General features: G+C 40.3%; 1 annotated feature.

Annotated features, from left to right (window-relative positions):
- Positions 14,193–14,393: a silencer, noted in NCBI's record as "peak7123 fragment used in MPRA reporter construct". NCBI's record gives its function as "represses an SCP1 promoter by STARR-seq MPRAs in K562 erythroleukemia cells {active_cell/tissue: K562}" and the evidence as "EXISTENCE:reporter gene assay evidence [ECO:0000049][PMID:32103011]".

A 21,427-nucleotide genomic window follows, 5' to 3' on the forward strand; every position in this document is an offset into this window, starting at 1 on the left:
GCAAAGCTGAGGACGTTTTGATAGAGGGGCGGTATTTTTGTGGGTTTCTTAAGAAAACAAGGATTTTGAAGGAAGGCAACTGGAAGTTCGTGGAAAGTGGTGTAGAAGGGTGAGGCTCTTGTGCCTTAATGATGCCAGGCTGTTTGTATTGAAATAACCTGAATTTTAAAAGCATTATTTAAGTCAACCCATCAAGCCCTGTGGAAGGTAGCTGGGACACAACAGATGCATGATATTGAGTCGATATATACACTGAGTACCTACTATGTGCCAGATTCTGCTAAACAAGAGGACAGATCTTCGGGGAGTCTCATTCTGATCAGGGAGTCTTTGTCCTCAACCTATTAACCAACACTCTGGAGGGTGAAACCTGGCCACAAAGAAAGGTGCTCAATTGAGGTTCAAAAGTAGGTTTGGACTTTACCAACGTTTTTCAGGCCTCTTATCAAGGGTCTACCCAGCTGAAAATCTTTGCATGGAATTTGTCCAGAGAGTAATTTGTTTCTATTCTCTTTCCATCCCCACCCCCAGAGAAGAAGTGGTGAACTTAAGAGTTCACAGGGATTAGTGTATGTGAAACCATCAGGGAAAGCTTCAGACAATACGTGGAAGAGATGGAAGCAGAGCTGAGTTTCAGTCTAATGGAAAGCCTGGAAAACTGGAGAAATTGGAGAGAAAACATTGGCTGGGAGAACATGGCAAAGACAGGCACACTCAGGGCACAGAGCCTGACCTGAGTGAAATACTGAGTGTTTGTTCTGTGCTTCCCTAGCTATCCAGTGAACCATAGTGAATGACTGAGGGTGACACGTGAATAAAACCTGAGCGATAGATGAAGAGAGACATGTTACATATAGGTTCTGTTCTAGAGCCGAACAGACCTGGATTTGAGTCCCAGCTCATCAACTTGTAGCGGCAAATTTCTTCATCTTTCTAAGTCTGCTTTCTCCTCTAAAAATAGTACCCATTTTGTTGGGTTGTGATGTAAATTAAATGGGATAATGTATATGCAGCTTGAGTATCCCTTATCTGAAATATTTGAGACCAGAAGTGTTTCAGATTTTGGATTTTTTCAGATTTTTGAGTATTTGCAGAATACATGCCAGTTGAGCATCCCAATCTGAAAATCTGAAATCCAAAATGCTCCACTGAGCATTTCCTTGAGCATCACATCAGTGCTCAAAAAGTTTTGGATTTTGGAGCGTTTTGGATTTTGGATTTTCAGATTAAGGGTGTTCAACCTATACAGTGCTTGACAAACAGACATTCTGAATATGCATTCCTCCCTGTGTTCTTTTGCCTGTCCTGCATTCCTTCAATCTTTCTTTTAGTAGCAGTGCTTAATCAATCCTTCATCACTTCTAGCCATGTGATTCTACAACAGTCAAATCTTATTCCAGACTGGGTGTGGTGGCTCACACCTGTAATCCCAGCACTTTGGGAGGCCAAGGAAGGCAGATTACTTGAGCCCAGGTGTTGGAGACCAACCTGAGCAACATAGACCACCATCTCCATAAAAAACTTTAAAACTTAGCCGGGCATAGTGTGATTTATGCCTATAGTCCCAGCTACTCAGGAGGCTGAGGCTGGAGGATCACTTGAGCCCAAGAGTTGCAGGCTGTAGTGAGCTATGACTGCACCACTGTACTCCAGCCAGACAGAGTGAGACCCTGTCTTTAAAAAGAAAAAGAAAAAACATTATTCCAGTTGAGCAGATGACCCAAGAGTAGCCAAGCAATGTAGCCCATCCCCTTGGCCACAGTAATTTGTTGAGGATGGGCACAGGATTCTGGCCAGGCCAGTGAAACTCAATTCTATGACTTCTGTTGAAACTACTGGGGGAAAAGATATCTTTTTATAGAGAGAGGAGTTTGCATTGGGTTGCAGTAGGGGTCTTGCAGATCTGTGAGAGTATAAAGCCAGAGGGTACTGTGTGCCTATAATGTGCCAAGCACAGCACATGACAAAATGGCATGAAAAGCCTCATGAAGCTTTCATTCTAGTGGGCTTCGAGGAAAAAACCAACAAAAATAAAAAATATATCTGAAGGAGGTAAGTGGAATGGAAACAACAGAGTAGGGGTAAAGAAAGTCTGTGTGAAGAGGTATCTTTTTATATTGAAAGGTTGATGAAACAACCCATGAAACAAGCCCATGGTCTTCACTAAACTAAAAGATGCCTCAGTGGAAAGACTAGGCTTGTTCTGCATAGCCCTAAGGAATAAAGTAGGATGGATGGGTGGAAGATACTGGGAGTTAGATGTCAGTTAAGTATTCCCCATGGCTAGAAATCAGTCCCTTTCAAGGTCATCCTCAACCAGAGACACATCCACTTGGGGGAGACAAGGATCCCTTAATTGGTAAAGAGGCATACCAACAGTCTTGTTCCCACTATATCTCTCCATTCTGGCCTTGACAATCACCAGGTCAGCATGTTACCTTAAAATGTGTTGATAAGATGCCACTTTTTAAATACAAACTTAGGGGGAAGTGGGGTCCAGGGTAGGGAAACAGCTGGTTGCATGGCAAGAGTGATGCCGTCTTGAAGAAAAACTGCCATGATGACCGATGTTTGACTACTGCATACCAAGGTGTTTCCATGGCATGGATAAACCCTCATAAAGATGTTTATCTAACCTCCCCAGTGGTCACAAGTTTTGCTAGAAAGTCTGAGGCATGACCAGCTGCATGTTTTACCAAAAAAGCTTGCTATATAGAGGATATTTTCTGGAGCACAGATGCGGGGATCTACCATCCCTCAGCCAACAGAGAGATTGTTTCTGTTCCTAAGTCCCTTTTAAATGTTTCTTCCTGAGAAACTGGATTTGTCAGTCTCTCTCTTCAGCCTTTGGGGGCAAGTTTGCATAGACCTGCTCACCACTGTTCCTTGTTAACTGTGAATCCTGTCCTTAGGACAAAAGACCCTTGACCATTAATCTTTCCCTTAGGCAGATTTATCAGCCTCTTTTTCAGCCTTTCAGCTTCCTCAGACTTTTGGGGGTAGGTTTGCCTAGGCTGCCTACCGCAGCACACCCAGGAACATGCTGGCTCCTCCATCACTATCCTGCTCTGAACATGCTTTTGAGAAAACCTGACCTCTCACCTGTGCTGCAGCCTTTCCTATTGTGGAAAGTGTATACAACACCTAGAAAGGCAAATTACAATGCCAAGAGCTAAAAGGAATGAAATGGACCCTGAAACAAATTAGGCAGTAGTCACTCGGAAGAGTGGAAAACTTTCAATCCTTTTGACCATAAGGTATATCACTAATACAGTATCAGTGGGAAGGGCCAGAAATAATTTTATGGATTAAGAAAATGTGAGGGGCTCAGAAGTTAAAAAGCAACAACAGAAACAAGCTCTATCTGAGGTAAAATAGCAGCAGCTGCAATATTTGACAAACCTCAGAGGTAGATCTACTGACTCTTACATATAATTTATTTCCACTTTCAAATTTAACAAATAATGAGAGTGTTGAGTCAGAGTTAGATCCTAGAGTTCAGAGACAACAGGCTGGGCATGGTGGCTCACACCTGTAATCCCAGCACTTTGGAGGCCAAGGTGGGAGGATAACTTGAAGCCAGGAGTTCAAGGCCAGCCTGGGCAATATAGTGAGACCCCCATCCCTATAAAAAAAAAACCAAAACTTTTTTTTTTTTTAATTAGCCTGGTGTGGTGGCTCATGCCTGTAGTCTCAACTACTCAGGAGGCTGAGGCAGGAGGATCACTTGATCCCAGGAGTTCAAGACTGCAGTTAGTGAGCTACACTGCACTCTAGCCTGGGTGACAGAGTAAGACCCTGTCTCTAATGGAGAGATAGAGAAAGAGAGAGAGAGAGAGAGAGGCATTTTTCTCTTTACTATTCATTATTACCAAGAAAATCTAGGATTTCAGAGATGCAGCCCAATAATGTAACTAGACTTCCTATTCTGCCTTCCCACTGATTAATAAATAAGAAATCACCAGCCAGATTCAACAGGGAAACTTATCTGAAAGTGGACAGGAAAAAAGGAGGCATATTCTTTCCCCTAGAATTATATTCTAAGAATTCAGTTGAGGATATGGACCATCACAAGGCTTGAGTCTGGGGTACTTTATTTGACCTGACTATATCCAACATGTAAATAAGGATCCAAGGGAACTCATAAGGGCTAATAAAACAATACTGTGGTTTCTTCTGTGATGTTGTTATTGACTAAGAAAATGCTGTGAGTGATGATCTGCAAATGATCCCCTGCTCTTAAAGACTGATGACATTTAACATAGTTCCAGGTGAGGTGAGGTTTGCTGGCTCTACATGCCTCCAAAAACGGCAGCCTCTACCAGAGAGATCCTTCACTGTCACTGATGCTGTTTGGCATGGGGCTTGGGAGGCACAGGAAGACCGGATGTGGTTTAAGAAGGCACCTGGAGGAGTGTTCCAAGCTCATCAGCGGTAGCAGTGTCCCATATATAGAGTTTTCACTGCAGCTTATGACAAACAACAGGGACAGTTCAGAGGAAACCTGATTCATTTCTCAAAATGGTCCCACACCTCACCTTAAATAGGAGCGGCATGGTGAAAGTTCGTAATAATTTCTTTTTTTCTTTTTCTTTTCTTTTCTTTTTTTTTTTTTTTTTTTTGAGACAGAGCCTCACTCTGTAAAGTCTCACTGTCATTCAGAGCCAGAGTGCAGTGGCGCAATCTCAGCTCACTGCAAACTCCGCCTCCCAGGTTCAAGTGATTCTCCTGTCTCAGCCTCCTGAGTAGCTGGGATTACAGGTGTGTGCCACCATGTCCGGTTAATTTTTGTATTTTGGGTAGAGATGGGGTTTCACCATGTTGGCCAAGCTGGTCTCGAACTCCTGACCGCAAGTGATCCACCTGCCTCAGCCTCCCAAAGTGCTAGGATTACAGGCGTGAGCCATCACGACTGGTCCCAAATAACTTCTTAAATCAGTTGTGTGATGAATAAGTATTTCCATGTAAAATCTTACCTAGGCCAGGTGCGGTGGCTCACGCCTACAATCCCAACACTCTGGTAGGCCAAGGCAGGAGGATTGCTTGACCCCAGGAGTTCAAGATCAGCCTGGGCAACACAGTAAGACCCTGTCTCTAATTTTAAAAAATAAAAATAAATAAAATGTGTTAGAACAGTGCTACCCAATGTAATTATAAAGCTAGCCATGCGGATAATGTTAAATTTTCTAGTAGCTACATTAAAAAAAGTAAAAAGACACAAATGAAATTAGTTTTAATAATATATTTAACCCAATATAACCAAACTATTATTTCAATATGAAATTAACATAAAAATTATTAGATATTTCACATTCATTTTTCATACTCAATCTTTAAATTCTAGTGTGTATTTTTCACTTACAGTACAGCAAGCCCTTGAATAACATCGTTTGGCTTAACACTGTTTCATTGTAACTTTGATTTAAACAATCAATTCCTGGCTGAGGCCACTCTGTATGTGAAGTTTGCATGTTCTCCCCATGTCTGCGTGGGTTTTCTCTGGGTACTCTGGTTTCCTCCCACATCCAAAAGATGTGCGTGTTAGGAGGATTAGATGTCTAAATGGTTCCAGTGTGAGTAAGTGTGTGTGTGTGTGTGTGTGTGTGTGTGTGTGACAGGGAGAGAGAGAGAGACAGAGAGAGAGTGTTCCCTTGGGATGGAATGGTGTCCTGTCCAGGATTGGTTCCTACCTTGTGCTCTGAGCTAGCTCCAACTTCCAATGACCCTGAACTGAAATAATTGGGTAAATAATTATCTTACTTGTTTATTTTTTTTTAATTTATTCTTTTTTTTTTTTTGAGACAAGAGTCTTGCTATGTTGCCCAGACTTGTCTGGAACTCCTGGACTCAAGTGATCCTCTTGCCTCAGGCTCCCAAAGTGTTGGAATTACAGCCTGAGCCACTATGCCTGGCCTTGTTTTCATTAATCTTTCCAAGATTTATGTATTTATTACATTTTGTATTACATTTATTTCAGTGTTTAATATTAGAAGTGTTTTGGTCCTTATTTAAAAGTTGATGAGGTTTTTGTAACCAGAAATATGCCGATGGAATTTACCTCTTGTTTATGTCAATTAGCCCATGGTAAAACTGGTTTTGTTGTACATCGTTTTGCTTAAAGTCACAGTTTCCAAGAACCTATTAATGACATTAAGTGAGGACTTACTGTACGTCTCAATTCAAATTAGTCACATTTCAAGTTCTAAATAGCCATATGTGACTGTATTGGATAGCACAATGAGAACATTTTACTCATAAGAAAATGCTCATGAGCCATTGCTAAATGAAAAGGCAAGCTGCAAAGGTATGCCACGTGATCTAATTTTGTAACATGTGCATACACTTATACATATGTACTGTATATATAAGCAGGAAATAATACTGAAAGGGTATATACCAAAAACTTGTAATTTTTACATTTTATTTTTATGCAATCCAAATTTTATCATGTCTTACTTTTATGGTTAGAAAAAAATAATAATAAATGTGATTTTTTAAAAAGAGGTGTATTTGCTTCCTATTGTTGCTGTAACACACTGCCACAAATGTAGTGGCTTAGAACCACACACATTCATTATCTTGCAGTTCGGTAGTTCAAAAGTCTGACACAGGTCTCACTAGATTCAACTTAATGCATCAGCAAGGTCGCATTCCTTCCAGAGGCTCTAGAAGAGGAAGAATCTGTGCCCTTTTCTAGCTTCAAGGGGCTGCCTGTACTTCTTGGCTCATAGTTCCCTTCTTTCATTTTCAAAGCCAGCTCCATCACATCTCTTCCTCTGCCTCTCCTTTTCTCCCTCCCTCTTCCCCATTCTCCCTTGTGATTATATTGGCCCCACCTGGATAATGGAGACCAGTCTCCCTATTTTGGTGTCACCTGGTTAGCAAGCTTAATTCCACCTGCAATCTTATTTCCCTTTGCTATGTAACATATCATAATCCAGGGATCAGTACATAGACATCTTTGAAGGGCTGTTATCCTTCCTACCACAGGAGGTATGGTCATGATTAGTACTGTATAACTAATATTTCCATTCTCCTTTCAGACACACAGTAGGGTTATACTTCCTTGTTCCCTTCAAAGCAGCCACATGACTTGCTTTGGCCAATGCAATATGAGTGGAAGTGGCATGTGTCCTTTCCAGGTAGATGCTTTATAAGACAGCATGTGATTTACTACTTTCTCTTTGCCCTGCCTTTGATAGGATGGAAGTATTGAAGGAGATGGCACTTATGTCATCACCTATGTCTCACCTGGGTCTGTGAGACACTAGGATGAGCAGAGTCCTCCTACCAACCTGTGGTGGCCAGATATGGTGAGGGAGAAATAAGTGGTATGTCACTCCACTGAGCTTCAGGGGTTGTTTGGTCCTACAGACAAATAGCTCATCCTGACTGGTACAGGAGGTTAAAAAAAATACAAGTATCTAACTGGCAAGAGATGGTATCTCATTGTGGTTTTGACTTGCATTTCTCTAATGACCAGTGATGATGAGCTTTTTTTCATATGTTTTTTGGCTGCATAAATGTCTTCTTTTGAGAAGTGTCTTTTCATATCCTTTGTCCACTTTTTGATGGGATTACATTTTTTCTTGTAAATTTGTTTAAGTTCTTTGTAGATTCTGGATATTAGCCCTTTGTCAGATGGATAGATTGCAAAACTTTTCTCCCATTCTGTAGGTTACCTGTTCACTCTGATGATAGTTTCTTTTGCTGTGCAGAAGCTCTTTAGTTTAATAAGATCCCATTTGTCAATTTTGGCTTTTGTTGCCATTGCTTTTGGTGTTTTAGACATGAAGTCTTTGCCCATGCCTATGTCCTGAATGGCATTGTCCAGGTTTTCTTCTAGGATTTTTACGGTTTTAGGTCTTACGTTTAAGTCTTTAATCCACCTTGGGTTAATTTTTGTATAAGGTGTAAGGAAGGGGTCCAGTTTCATTTTTCTGCATATGGCCAGCCAGTTTTCCCAACACCATTTATTAGATAGGGAATCCTTTCCCCATTGCTAGTTTGTGTCAGGTTTGTCAAAGATCAGATGGTTGTAGATGTGTGGTGTTATTTCTGAGGCCTCTGTTCTGTTCCATTGGTCTATATATCTGTTTTTGTACGAGTATCATGCTGTTTTTGTTACTGTAGCCTTATAGTATAGTTTCAAGTCAGGTAGCATGATGCCTCCAGCATTGTTATTTTTGCTTAGGGTTGTCTTGGCTATGCAGGCTCTTTTTTGGTTCCATATGAAGTTTAAAGTAGTTTTTCCCAATTCTGTGAAGAAAGTCATTGGTAGCTTGATGGGGATAGCATTGAATCTATAAATTACTTTGGGCTGTATGGCCATTTTCACGATATTGATTCTTCCTATCCATGAGCATGGAATGTTTTTCTATTTATTTGTGTCCTATCTTACTTCCTTGAGCAGTGGTCTGTAGTTCTCCTTGAAGAGGTCCTTCACATCTCTTGTAAGTTGTATTCCTAGGTATTTTATTCTCTTAGTAGCAATTACGAATGGGAGTTCACTCATGATTTGGCTCTCTGTTTCTCTGTTACTGGTGTGTAGAAATGCTTGTGATTTTTGCACATTGATTTTTGTATCCTGAGACCTTGCTCAAGTTGCTTATCAGCTTAAGGAGATTTTGGGCTGAGATGGTGGCATTTTCTAAATATACAATCATGTCATCTGCAAACAGAGACAATTTGACTTCCTCTTTTTCTATTTGAATACTCTTTATTTATTTATCTTGCCTGATAGCCTGATGGCCAGAAACTCCAATACTATGTTGAATAGGAGTAGTGAGAGAGGGCATCCTTGTCTTGTGATCATTAAAAAGTCAGGAAACAACAAATGCTGGAGAGGATGTGGAGAAATAGGAACGCTTTTACACTGTTGGTGGGAGTGTAAATTAGTTCAGTCATTGTGGAAGACAGTGTGGTGATTCCTCAAGGATCTAGAACTAGAAATACTATTTGACCAAGCAATCCCATTACTGGGTATATACCCAAAGGATTATAAATCATTCTACTATAAAGACACATGCACATGTATGTTTATTGCAGCACTATTCACAATAGCAAAGACTTGGAACCAACCCAAATGCCCATCAATGATAGATTGGATTAAGAAAATGTGGCACATATACACCATGGAATACTATGCAGCCATAAAAAAGGATGAGTTCATGTCCTTTGCAGGGACATGGATGAAGCTGGAAACCATCATTCTTAGCAAACTAACACAAGAACAGAAAACCAAACACTGCATGTTCTCACTCATAAGTGGGAGTTGAGCAATGAGAACACATGGACACAGGGAAGGCAACATCACACACTGGCCCCTGTCACAGGGTGGGGGGCTAGGGGAGGGATAGCATTTAGAGAAATACCTAATGTAGGTGAAGAGTTGATGGGTGCAGCAAACCACCATGGCACGTGTATACCTATGTAACAAAACTGCACGTTCCACACATTTACCCCAGAGCTTAACATATAATTAAAAAAAAGAAAAGAAATCTTGTGAAAGGCAAAATGATGGTGGCAATCTCATTGTGCTTTAACCTGAAGTATATAAATTACTCTGATAAATTAAACACAGAGAAATTTCCTTATAAAGCCATAAAACATTAGCATTTTCCCAGAAATCAGATATTGAGTTTTTGCTCTCCAACTCCCAAATCAAAATGTTGCAGTAAAATGTTTGTTTTAATACATTTTTTTCTTTGCTGTAAAATAAATAAATAAATAAATACAAGTATCTGTTTTAGTTAGGGATGCATGTGTGTGAACGCTGAGGCAGATAAACTGAGTGACAGAGACGGTGGGAATGTAAAAAAGTAATGGGGACATTAAGATGGGCCTGGAAATAAGCTATGTTGATCACTACAATTTCTTCTAAATTGAAAACAAAATGGAATGGTGGAGCCCAGCCCTTCAACATTAGGGGCCTCCCTGTGCTCAGCCCTGACTAACCTCTAGAGAAGCTGTGAAGAGACCCTGAGTTTTGAAATAGAATCTGTCCTCTGCTTAAGAGTCCTGCTTTGCTGCTGACCTAGGGGAACGCTGGATGTTTGGGTCCCTTCGGGGGTTGAGTGCCTGAGGCACCAGCTTCCCAAGACTTCTCATGGAGTACTGAATTCTAGGAGACTCTGGGCTCCCCTGAAGCTTGTACGTGGATTGGGGACAATGTTTTCTAGCCTCTCCAAGGGCTGAGTTCCTGCCTCACTCTATTCGTAAGCCCTACGTAGCCCCTAGTCGTTTGTAAAACATGTTCACATATGTTTTCATTTTGTCCTCTCAATAATCCTGTGAGATAAGCAGGAATTCCTTTATTTTATTTTATTTTATTTATTTATTTAGAGACAGAGTCTCACTCTGTCACCTAGGCTGGAGTGCATGGCACAATCACAGCTCTCTGCAGCCTCGGACTCCTGGGCTCAAGTGATCCTCCTGCCTCAGCCTCCTGAGTAGCTGGCCACACCCAGCTCATTAAAAATTTTTTTTTGTTATTGAGACAGGGGCTTGCTATGTTCCCTAGGCTGGTCTCAAACCCCTGGGCTCAAGTGATCCTCCCATCTCAGCCTCCCAAAGTGTGGGGATTAAAGGCATAAAACACCACATCTGTCTCTGGTTTTTAGATAAACAAACTGAGGGTCATAGTGGTAGAAAAACAGAAACACTGGGACTGGAATCTAGAGTGTGAGAATCCAGAGATTGCCTTCCACAGCAGGGCTGTAGAGAGCACATCCAAGGAAACAAATCCATCTCAGTGGATAACACTCATTAGCCTAGGATGGTTCACTGAGCACCGATGGTGTGCCCTGTGTGGTTGTCCCTAATGGCTGAGAGGATAGTCCCAAGCCACTGAGGACACTTCCTAAATCAGTAGATCATTCCAGAGCCTTCAGTTTCTTTTAGTTGAATTGATAAATCCTCCTGGCCCCTACTTAGAGAATCAAAGAGGTTATTTATTCAGATGATGAGGTCTGTGCAATAACTAAGTACCAGATATTTGTGTTCCTTTGGGCATTTCAGAGGCAGTACTAATTAAAACAATTTTCCCAGAAGCAGGCTGACGTCAATCACAGAAGCTATACACAGAGATGACCTGGCCTGATAATGGCCTTTATGAAATGAAGCTGTTAAATGAAAGAGTCACGTTAAACTCAGCTGCATTTTGAATACAGAGACAGCAAAAAATTTAAGTTTACTAGATGAGAAAAAAAAAAAAACAAGAGGAGCGGGAAATACCTATTTTAACTTCTAAGAGGATACAGCAAAGTCAAAAGATACAAATTATCATTCTAAGATAGGACACTTGATAATGACTTTTAAAATGATTTTTTTTAAAAAAGGATGTCTTAGCAGTTTCTTTGGAATTCCACTTTGAACTTATGTTTATTTTAATTTATGGATGTGGTGAACTAGTCAAATTCAACAAACATGGATATCTTTAGCTTCCACATGCTCTTCTGAGTAAACAGTAGCTGTGTTGACAGCAGGACACAGTCGTTAGAATATTGTATGGTCACCCTGACACTGCCACATTTAAAATCTGGAGGTGTAGGGCATAGTGGCTCATGCCTGTAATCTCAGCACTTTGAGAGGCTCAGGCAGTAGGGTCACTTGAGGCCAAAATTTCAAGACCAGCCTGGGCAACATAGCAAGACCCTGTCTCTACAAAATAATAAAAAATGAGCCAGGCATGGTGGCATGCACCTGTATCCCCAGCTACTCAGGAGGCTGAGACGGGAGGATCGCTCAAGCCCAGGAGGTTGAGGTTAGACTGATCCATGATCATGCCACTGCACTCCAGCTTGGGTGTCAGATTGAGACACTGCCACTTAAAAAAAATAGAAATACACATTGAAATATTTACCAATCAAATGGTATGATGATGATTTGCTTCAAAATAATACAAGTGGGGTAGGCAGGTGGGCAGATGGGAGTGGAAGGTGTTGATCATAGGCAAATAAAACCTAGGTCACCAACTTTCTCTTTTCTTTTCTTTTCCTTTTTTTTTTTTTTTTAAATAGAAACAGGGTCTTGCCATGTTGTCCAAGCTGATCTCAGGCTCAAGCTCCTGTCTTGGCCTCCCAGAGTTCTAGGATTACAGGTGTGAGCCACAACTTTTTTTTTTTATAAAGGGCCAGATAGTAGCTGTGGGCTGGGGTCTCAAACTGTGTTGCCCACTACTCAACTCTGCCATTGTAATGTGAAAGTAGTCACAGACAAAATATAAAGAAATGAGTGTGACTGTGTTCCAATAAAACTTTATTTACAAAAGCATTCAGTGGGCTGGATTTGGCTTTTGGGCCATAATTAAATCCCCTCTGGTAAAATAATCACTATTTTAGCTGGATCATGAGTACGTGGGAGTACATGAGTACTATAAACTTCTGTCCACTTTTGCATATACAAGAAGTTTGATACTTTCCATTTAAAACAATAGAATGTTTTGAGCATTATTTGCAAGCCTCAGACCAATCCTCAGCCTTCTTGGCATTCTTACAAGTGAGTATTCTTGCTATATCCAACTTGGGTCATATAGCTTTCATTTCCTCTTTTGTATATAGGCCTTCCTTCCTTCCTTCCTTCCTTCCTTTCCTTCCTTCCCTTCTTTCTTTCTTTTCTTTCTTTCTTTCTTTCTCTTTCTTTCTTTTTTCTTTCTTTCTTTCTTTCTTTCTTTCTTTCTCTCTCTCTTTCTTTCTTTCTCTCTCTCTTTCCTTCTTTCTTTTCTTTCTTTCTTTCTTTCTTTCTTTCTCTCTCTCTCTCTTTCTTTCTTTCGAGACAAAGTCTTGCTGTGTCGCCCAGGCGACAGTGGCACAATCTTGGCTCACTGCAACCTCTGCCTCCCGGGTTCAAGCGATTCTTCTGCCTCAGCCTCCCGAGTAGCTGGGACTACAGGCACGTGCCACCATACCTGGCTAATTTTTGTATTTTTAGTAGAGATGGGGTTTCACCATATTGGCCAGGCTGGTCTCGAACTCCTGACCTTATGATCCACCCACCTTGGCCTCCCAAAGTGCTGTGATTACAGGCGTGAGCCACCGTGCCCAGCCATATATAGGCTTTTCAACCAAACTCACTCCCTGAGCAACCACATTAATTTTGTTTTGGTGTTCCTGTTTTCTTCCATGTTGAGATTATCCAGAATTATATTTTAATTTTCATTTTTTCCTTTCATTATATTTTCACTTTTAGGTCTTCTCATTCCTCTTAAGCCATTCCATTTTAAGTGGAATCAGACCATATCTAGCTTTTCTCTAAATAATTTAAGAAACACAAATATTCTGTTTTCTTTTAGTCTCAGGTGCCCATTCTACAAATGTTTACTGAGGCTACTATATGCCAGACTTTGTGGTAGTTTCTGTGGAAGTAAGTATGAACGTAGCTCAGTTCCAAACTCTAGAGAGCTCCCAGAGTCCTACAGAGCCCCTGTTTCTCACCTGAACAACAAACACTGTCCTCCAAGCTTCCTGTATCTTTAATATCATCAGCTATTCCCATTATTGGTAGCATTAAGCTCAGTGGATCAATTACCTGTGCTATCCCCCTCTGCCTTCTAGAGAGAGAGATTGACTCAAGACAAGTAAAGATGGGTGCACCCCCAGGAGAGAGTTCTAGGGTGCCCGAAGCCTAACCTAGAGTTTTGTAAGCTTCAATTATTTGCACATCCCTATACTATTATGTACTTAATATTTTTCTTTAGATTGACTCATTTAAAAAAATATACAGCCATCAAAATTTTGGGACACTAACTTGGGATTTCCCAAAGTTTCTATCTCCACCATTCACCTGAGAGGAAGAGCTTTCTATGCATGCACACTATGCTCAAGGGTGATCAACTTGTTGAAGTGATTTAAACCACACAGCAGGCAAATAGTCTTCAAAGCCATGTCTTTTGATTTATCTTTTTTTTTTTTTTTTTTTTTTTTTTTAAGATGGGGCCTCACTATATTGCCCAGCCTGGTCTCAAACTCCTGGACTCAAGTGACCCTCCCATCTCGGCCTCCCGAAGTGCTGGATTACAGGCATGAGCCACCGACCCAACCTGATTTATCTTTTTGAGGAAAGAGAAAATTTTTCTTTTCTTTTTAAGGAAAGGGAAGCGTCTATCAGAAAGCAGGATTATAAAAACAGGATAAGCAATATGTCCAAAATATACATGATTCTCTGCTCAAAGGGAAATAAAATTAGATGAGAGGAGAAGGAGCAGGGAAGAGGTAGCTGGAGCTTGATGCTTCATCAGTGGCAGAGAGGGGGTTCAGGCCAATTCTCGCAAGTGCTGCAGAGCAGTGCTTCTTAAACATTAACGTCATGCAGATTCTGACTCAGCAGGTCTGGGGTGAGGCCTGAGAGTCTAAATTTCTATCAAGTTCCAAAGTGATACTGATGTTGCTGATCCACAGACCACATTTTGAATAGCAAGGCTATAGAACAGCCTAAAAGTTCCCATGTTCTCCCCCAGGCAGATGGGTTCTGAGATTGAGCTGTGGACCTTACAAAGCCAGAAGGCAGGTGAGAAGGGAAAAAAATAGACTTCAGGAGCCAATGCTCAGGCATAGTATGAAGGACTCAGGAAACTGCACCCTGTGAAGGAACAGAGGAGACCTGGCACCCTGTTTTTCCCTGACAACAGAGTAAGAATCAGTCAGTCCAGAGAGAAGAGAAGGAGGAGGGGGCATAATTCTAACAAGGATTCTGATCTGACCCCAGAAAAGATCCAATTTTAAATCAGGATTGACTGAATTTAGTCATACTTTCTGTTGCTGAAGAAGAAATAGGGCACAAGAACTAACCTGAGTTCAGTTATAGAGAAATAAAATTACAACTTTTGCACATGGGAGCACATTGTATAAAGTTCATACCTACTAACATTTTTGTTTGAAAGATTTATTATATATAAATGACATACACCAAATTATACATTTTAAAATAATTTTTAAAATAAATTTTGTATAAAATTTATATCATAGCGGAACTTATGTCAGGATCACTTGAAAACCAAATAATATTTTTCTTTTTTTGAGACAGTATCTTACTCTGTCACCCAGGCTGTAGTGCAGTGGCATGATCTTGGCTCACTGCAATCTCTGCTTACCAGATTCAGGCGATTCTCCCATCTCAGCATCCCAAGTAGCTTGGACCACAGGTGTGCACCATCACACCCAGCTACTCTTTTTTGTATTTTTTGTAGAGATAAGGTTTCACCATGTTGCCCAGGATGATCTCAAACTCCTGGACTCAAGCGATTTACCTGTCTCAGCCTCCCAAAGTGCTGGAATTACAGGCATGAGCCACTGTGCCAGGCCAAAAACCAAATAATTTTATTAATATCTAGTTGAAGGCTCTGAGCTCGACTTTATAAAAAAAAAAGTTAGGCCAGGCATGGTGGCTCACGCCTGTAATCCCAGAACTTTGGGAGGCTAAGCTGGGAGGATTGGTTGAACCCAGGAGTTCAAGACCAGCCTGGGCAACATATTGAAACCCTATCTCTACAAAAAGAAAAAGAAAATTAGCCAGGCGTGGTGGTGCACGCCTGTGGTCCCAACTACTGGGGAGGCTGAGGTGGGAGGATCACTTGGGCCCAGGTGGCTGAGGCTGCAGTGAGCCGCAATCTCACCACTGCACTCCAGCCTGGAGTTTTGTTGTTGTTGTTTTCTCAAAAAACAGTTAAAAAAAAAATTAGAGCCTTTCCACTTAGTCTAGTCTGGTCTAGTCAGATTGATTGAAAGAGTACCAAAAAGGCATTAACTTTTTCATTATATCATTCAACATGTTCAATTTGGAAAATTGCAAATATGTGCCAAGTTGACACACTGGTATGATGAAAGGCCCCATCACTCAGCAGCAGCAACAGTCAAACCATGAAGCATCTTGTTTTCATCCCAATCCCCCAGCCCCTCCCCTCACTGATCACTTTGAAGCAAATCTCAGATATTACATAATTTCATTGGTAAATATTTCGTTATATATTCTAAAAGATATTGTCTAGTATATCATTATCATACCTGAAACAATGATATCTCTTGGTGTCATCAAATATCCAATGTTCAAATTTCCAAGTGTCTTTTTTTTAACTGCTTGAATCAGGATCCAAATAAGGGCCATGCATTGTAATTGGTTGATATGTCTTCTAATTTACTGGTTTTCCCTCTATCTCTTTTTTTCCTCTTGCAATTTTTGTGATTTAAAAAAATGCAGTGCCCATGTACCACTTAAAATCATATTGCAGTGAAAGGTGTCCCACACCCCAGAGAACACTGACTATCCATAGTAACACATTGTGTTATATATAACATATGTATGTGTTGTATATAACACATATATATGTTGAAGACCAGCCTGGGCAACATAGTGAGTCCCTATCTCTACAAAAATAAAAAGAAAATTAGCCACACATATATATGTGTTATATATAACTTGCATATTATATATTCATTTATTATATATACATATATATTATATGTATGTGTGATACGTAACACATGCATATAATCTATAATATATGTATTATATGTACATACATATAATATATATGCATTATATATACATAACACATACACATAATATATGTATTATACATATAACACATATATATAGTGATATATATATATATATATATATATAGTGTTATATATAACACATAGTAGCACATTGTGTTATGTATAACACAATCTGTCCATAGTAACACAATCTGTCCATAGTAACACACTGAAGTTCCTGGCACTCATAAGTATTTGTTGAAGGAAAGAAAGGGAAAGGAAGAAGGGAGGGAGGGTTGGGAAGAAGCAAGAGCAAGAATGAATAATCCCCCACCCACCCGAGGCTGAAGGCGGGCACACCAGTGACTCCTAGGTCACTCTTCCTGCACAACTGTCCATTTTCTTTCCAGAATAAGTTTGTCAATGCTATCTCATTGCCTGTAGGGTCAAGTCCTGAGTCCCCAGAGGCTGGCCTGGAGCCGGGAGCCTATGTCCTCAGGGGCCGTCCTGAGGCTTGGGCCTGTGGAGGCAGAATTAGCCTATAAAATATATGTAAAATACATAAAATATATATAACATAGCCCAAGGTTCTGCTGGGACATGCCTAAACTCTGGGTTCAAGGGTTCTTTTCTTAAGTTTTCTTAAAAATTGTGGTAAAATATATATAACATAAAATTTACCATCTTTCCTATTTTCAAGTGTACAGTTCAATAAAGTATATTTGCATGGATGTACAATCAATCTCCAGACTTTTTTATCTTGCAAAACAGAAAGTCTATACCCATTAAACAACTCCCCAGTCCCCCTTCTCCATGACCCTGGGAACTACCATTCTACTTTCTGTCTCTATGAATCGACTACTTTAGTTTCCTCATACAGGTAGAATCATACCATATCTGTCTCTTTGTGATGGGCTTATTTCACTTAGCATAATGTCCTCAAGGTCAACCATGCTGTAGCATGTGTCAGAATTTCCTTCTATTTTAAGGCTGAATAATAATCCATTGCATGTGTCTTAGTCCATATTGTGTTGTTACTACACATCAGCTCATCTGCTGGTGCTGCCTCACAACATGGTGGAAGGTCAGAGGGGAAACAGAAACACGTGAGAGGCAAAACCTGAGGTGCATCCTGGCTTTATGACAACCCATTCTTGTAGGAACTAATCCATTCCCTCAAGAACAAGAACCCATTACTGTGAGAATGCATCAAGCCATCTGTGAGGGATTCATCCCCATCACCCAGACTCCTCCCACTAGGCCCCACCTCCCAACACAGCCACATTGGGGATTGACTTTCAACATGAGTTTTGGTGGGGACAAACCATACCCAAATGACAGCAGTATGTATATACCACATTTTGCATATCCATTTATTTGTCAATAAATATGTCCAAAAGGAGGCTGCATCCACCTTTTGGCTATTGTGAATAGCACTGCTGTAAATATGCATGTGCAAATAACTGTTTGAGTTCCTGCTTTGAGTTTCTTCACAGATATGCCCAGAAAGGGGGTGATATGGTTTGGCTGTGTCCCCACCCAAATCTCATCTTGAATTGTAGCTCCCATAATTCCCTTGGGTTGTGGGAGGGACCCAGTGAGAGATAATTGAATCAGGGGGATGGTTTCCCCCATACTGTTCTCGTGGTAGTGAATAAATCTCACAAGATTTGATGGTTTTATAAGGGGTTTCCGCTTTCTCTTATTCCTCATTCTCTCTTGCCACTGCCATGTAAGAAGTGCCTTTTGCCTTCTGCCATGATTGTGAGGCCTCCCCAGCCACGTGGAACTGTGAGTCCATTAAACCTATTTTTCCTTCCAGTCTTGGGTATGTATTTATCGCAGCATGAAAACAGGCTAATACAGGGGGATTGCTGGATCATAAAATAATTCTATGTTTAATCTTCTGAGGAACCAGCATACTGTTTTCTGCATATAATCTTTACATTTAAATCAATGTTGATGATATTTATAGTTTATGTATAACCATAACTCTTCTGCATTTTGCTAATAGCTTAATTTGGTTTGATTTGATTTTCCAATAAAACTTTTGCATTCCTAAATAGTTTGATTTTAAAAGCTGAAAATTAACAAAGCTGTCTTATCGTGATTTATTTAAATATGGTCCAATTTAGACCCAAATTAAGTATTGTAAAATTTCTTTCCTTGTATATGTGGTTCTCCTAGTTCTTCTGAGTTCCTCCTTTTTATAGGCATGAATTTGGTATATGGTTAGTCTACCATATCCTCAATTTTTTTTTCATATTCACCAACATATCTATTGTATTGAATCACCCTTATCCTTTATTCTTCCAAATCTTTCTTCTGGAGTTCTCCCTCCTGGGTTCTCTCCAGGCCTGTTTCCATGGCTGCACCTCAGGTATTGGTCTGCATTCACCTGTGCTGGATTCACTTTCTAAGGAACTACAGCACATGGAAGGTAAACATCTGAGTACTTATATGTTTGAAAATATCTGTATTCTGACTACACACATGTTTAAGAGATCTAGAGAGTTCTACAGTGAAATGTCTTTCCCTCAGAAGTTGGAAGGCATTTCTTCACAGGCTTCTTATGTCTCTTGCTGATGGGAAGGCTGCTGCTAGCCTCAGAATTTATTCCTTTATTGACTACCTGCTTATTTTTCTATATATTTCATTTGCATTCTTGGTATTCTAAAATTTCAGAATGATGAATCTGAGAATGGATCTTTATTTACTCTGATGGATACCTAGTGAGTCCTTTCAATTTGATGTCTCACTTCCTTCATTATCTTGTATTATTTCCTTAATCATTTCCCTCCACAACCACCTCTGTTCTTTCCTAGAAATCCTAATAATTATAGATTGGACATCCTCGATACATCCTCTTGGTCTTTTCCCCATCCTTTTTTGTTCTACTTTGTGAGGAGTATATTCTAACTCTTCTAATGGATCTTTTATTATTTTTTCTTTTTGAGACAGGGTCTCACTCTGTTGCCCAGATTGGAGTGCAGTGGTATGATCATACTCACTTCAGCCTCAACCTCCTTGGCTCAGGCTATCCTCCCGCCTCAGTCCCCTGAGTAGGTGGGACTACAAGTGCTTGCCAGCATGGCTGCCTAATTTCCTTATTTTTTGTAGAGACAGAGTCTCACTATATTGCCCAGGCTGGTCTGGAACTCCTAGGCTCAAGCAATCCTCCTGCCTCAGCCTCCCAAAGTAGTGGGATTACAGCCTCCACATCCAGCCTGGTAATCCTATTTTTTATTCCCAAATGCAATTTCTTTATCTGAGTCTTTCCCCATAGCATCGTGTTTTTGTTTTCTGGTATATCTTTATAGATCTATATTTATATAGATATCTGAGGACACTAATTATACATTTTATAAAATTATTTTTTCCTTGAATCAACTATGTTTCCTAGGGAGTAGTTTTTGTTTGCATATATCTGGGTCTTTTTCCTTAATACTCCACACTTTTGTCTATCATGCCCACCTACATTTAAGAATAAGGCAATATAAAAACTCATTATCAGTTATATGTCATGGTAGGGCTTGCCACCTGACAGGAGTCACTTCAGATGAGCAGATAGGGAGCAGCCATTAGTCTTTGGATCTTCAAAAACAGAATGAGGAGAGCTGTGCACTGAACAGGGCACTAACTCACACGCTCACTGTCCAGTCTCTCACCAGACACTTTTTTGATTTATTTTGTAAATCAATAGATCAATCAATCTCTCCTTCTCTCTCTCATTCTGTCTCTCTCTCTGTCTATACTTAGGAAGAGTGAGGCATTCTCTGCTGAGATATGTTTGAGTTGAATGTTCTGCCTACAGACTTTCCAGTAACTCCTCTGTTTTCAGCCCCATGTTTTGCTATCTCTGCAGGACCTGGAATTTCTGAATTCTAAGCCTCCCCAGGCTTCTGAGGGGCAGCTGTACAGTTTCCTCAGCAATAGTATCCATCATACCTTCTTTAAATGAGGTTTCCTCCTCCCTGCTTCCCCCATACTTACTCCATTATTCACTTTCAGTCTCCAGAAATTTGTTGAAATCCTTTTACTTTTTATTTTTACTTTTTAAAATATATTTTTTCCCACCCAACCCCTGTAGATGTTGAAATCTCTTAATCAACTGATGTCTTCTATTTATTTTTGTGGATTTATAACTTTAGACTTTACAGTCGTTTTTTGGAGTTAGGAGGGAGAGGAGCTAAACACATGTGCTTAATCCACCATATTGAATTACAGTCTGAAAGTGTCATTTAGAAATCTTGCCGTTTCTAGCACTCTTCTTCCTTCCTGCAGATGCAGGCTGCCATCTGGGATCATTTCTCTTAAACCCCGGGAACTTCCTTAGTATTTTCTGCAGTTCAGGTCTATTGCCAACAGATTCTCTCAGCTTTTGTTTGTCTGAAAAATGTCTATATTTGGCCTTCATTTTTCTGGTTTTTAAACTTTGTACTTTGAACTAATTTTAAGCTTACAGAAAAACTGCAATAGCACCAACAACTCTCAAGTACTCTTTTCAGCTGGTAACATTTAATTGTTAACATTTGGCCACATTTGCTTAATCAATCTCTCTGTCTATGTATATGTAAATATACTTAGACCACTACACACACCACATCTTTTTTTTTTTTTTTTTTTTTCTGTTTTTGAGACAGGGTCTCACTCTGTCACCCAGGCTGGAGTGCAGTAGCATGATCTTGGATCATAGCAGTCTCAACCTCCTGGGCTCAAGCAATCCTCCTACCTTAGCCTCCCAAGTAGCTGGGACCACAGGCATGCACCACCATGCTTGGCTAATTGTTGTATTCTTTGTAGAGATGAGGTTTTGCCATGTTTCCCAGGCTGATCTCAAACTCCTGAGCTCAAGCAATCCGCCCTCTTTGGCCTCCCAAAGTGTTGGGATGACAGGCATGAGCCACCACACCTGGTCCATAATTTTTTTTTTTTTTTGAGACAGCATCTTGCTT

This window comes from Homo sapiens, chromosome 8 (genome assembly GCF_000001405.40).
Source record: "Homo sapiens chromosome 8, GRCh38.p14 Primary Assembly".
NCBI lineage: Eukaryota > Metazoa > Chordata > Mammalia > Primates > Hominidae > Homo > Homo sapiens.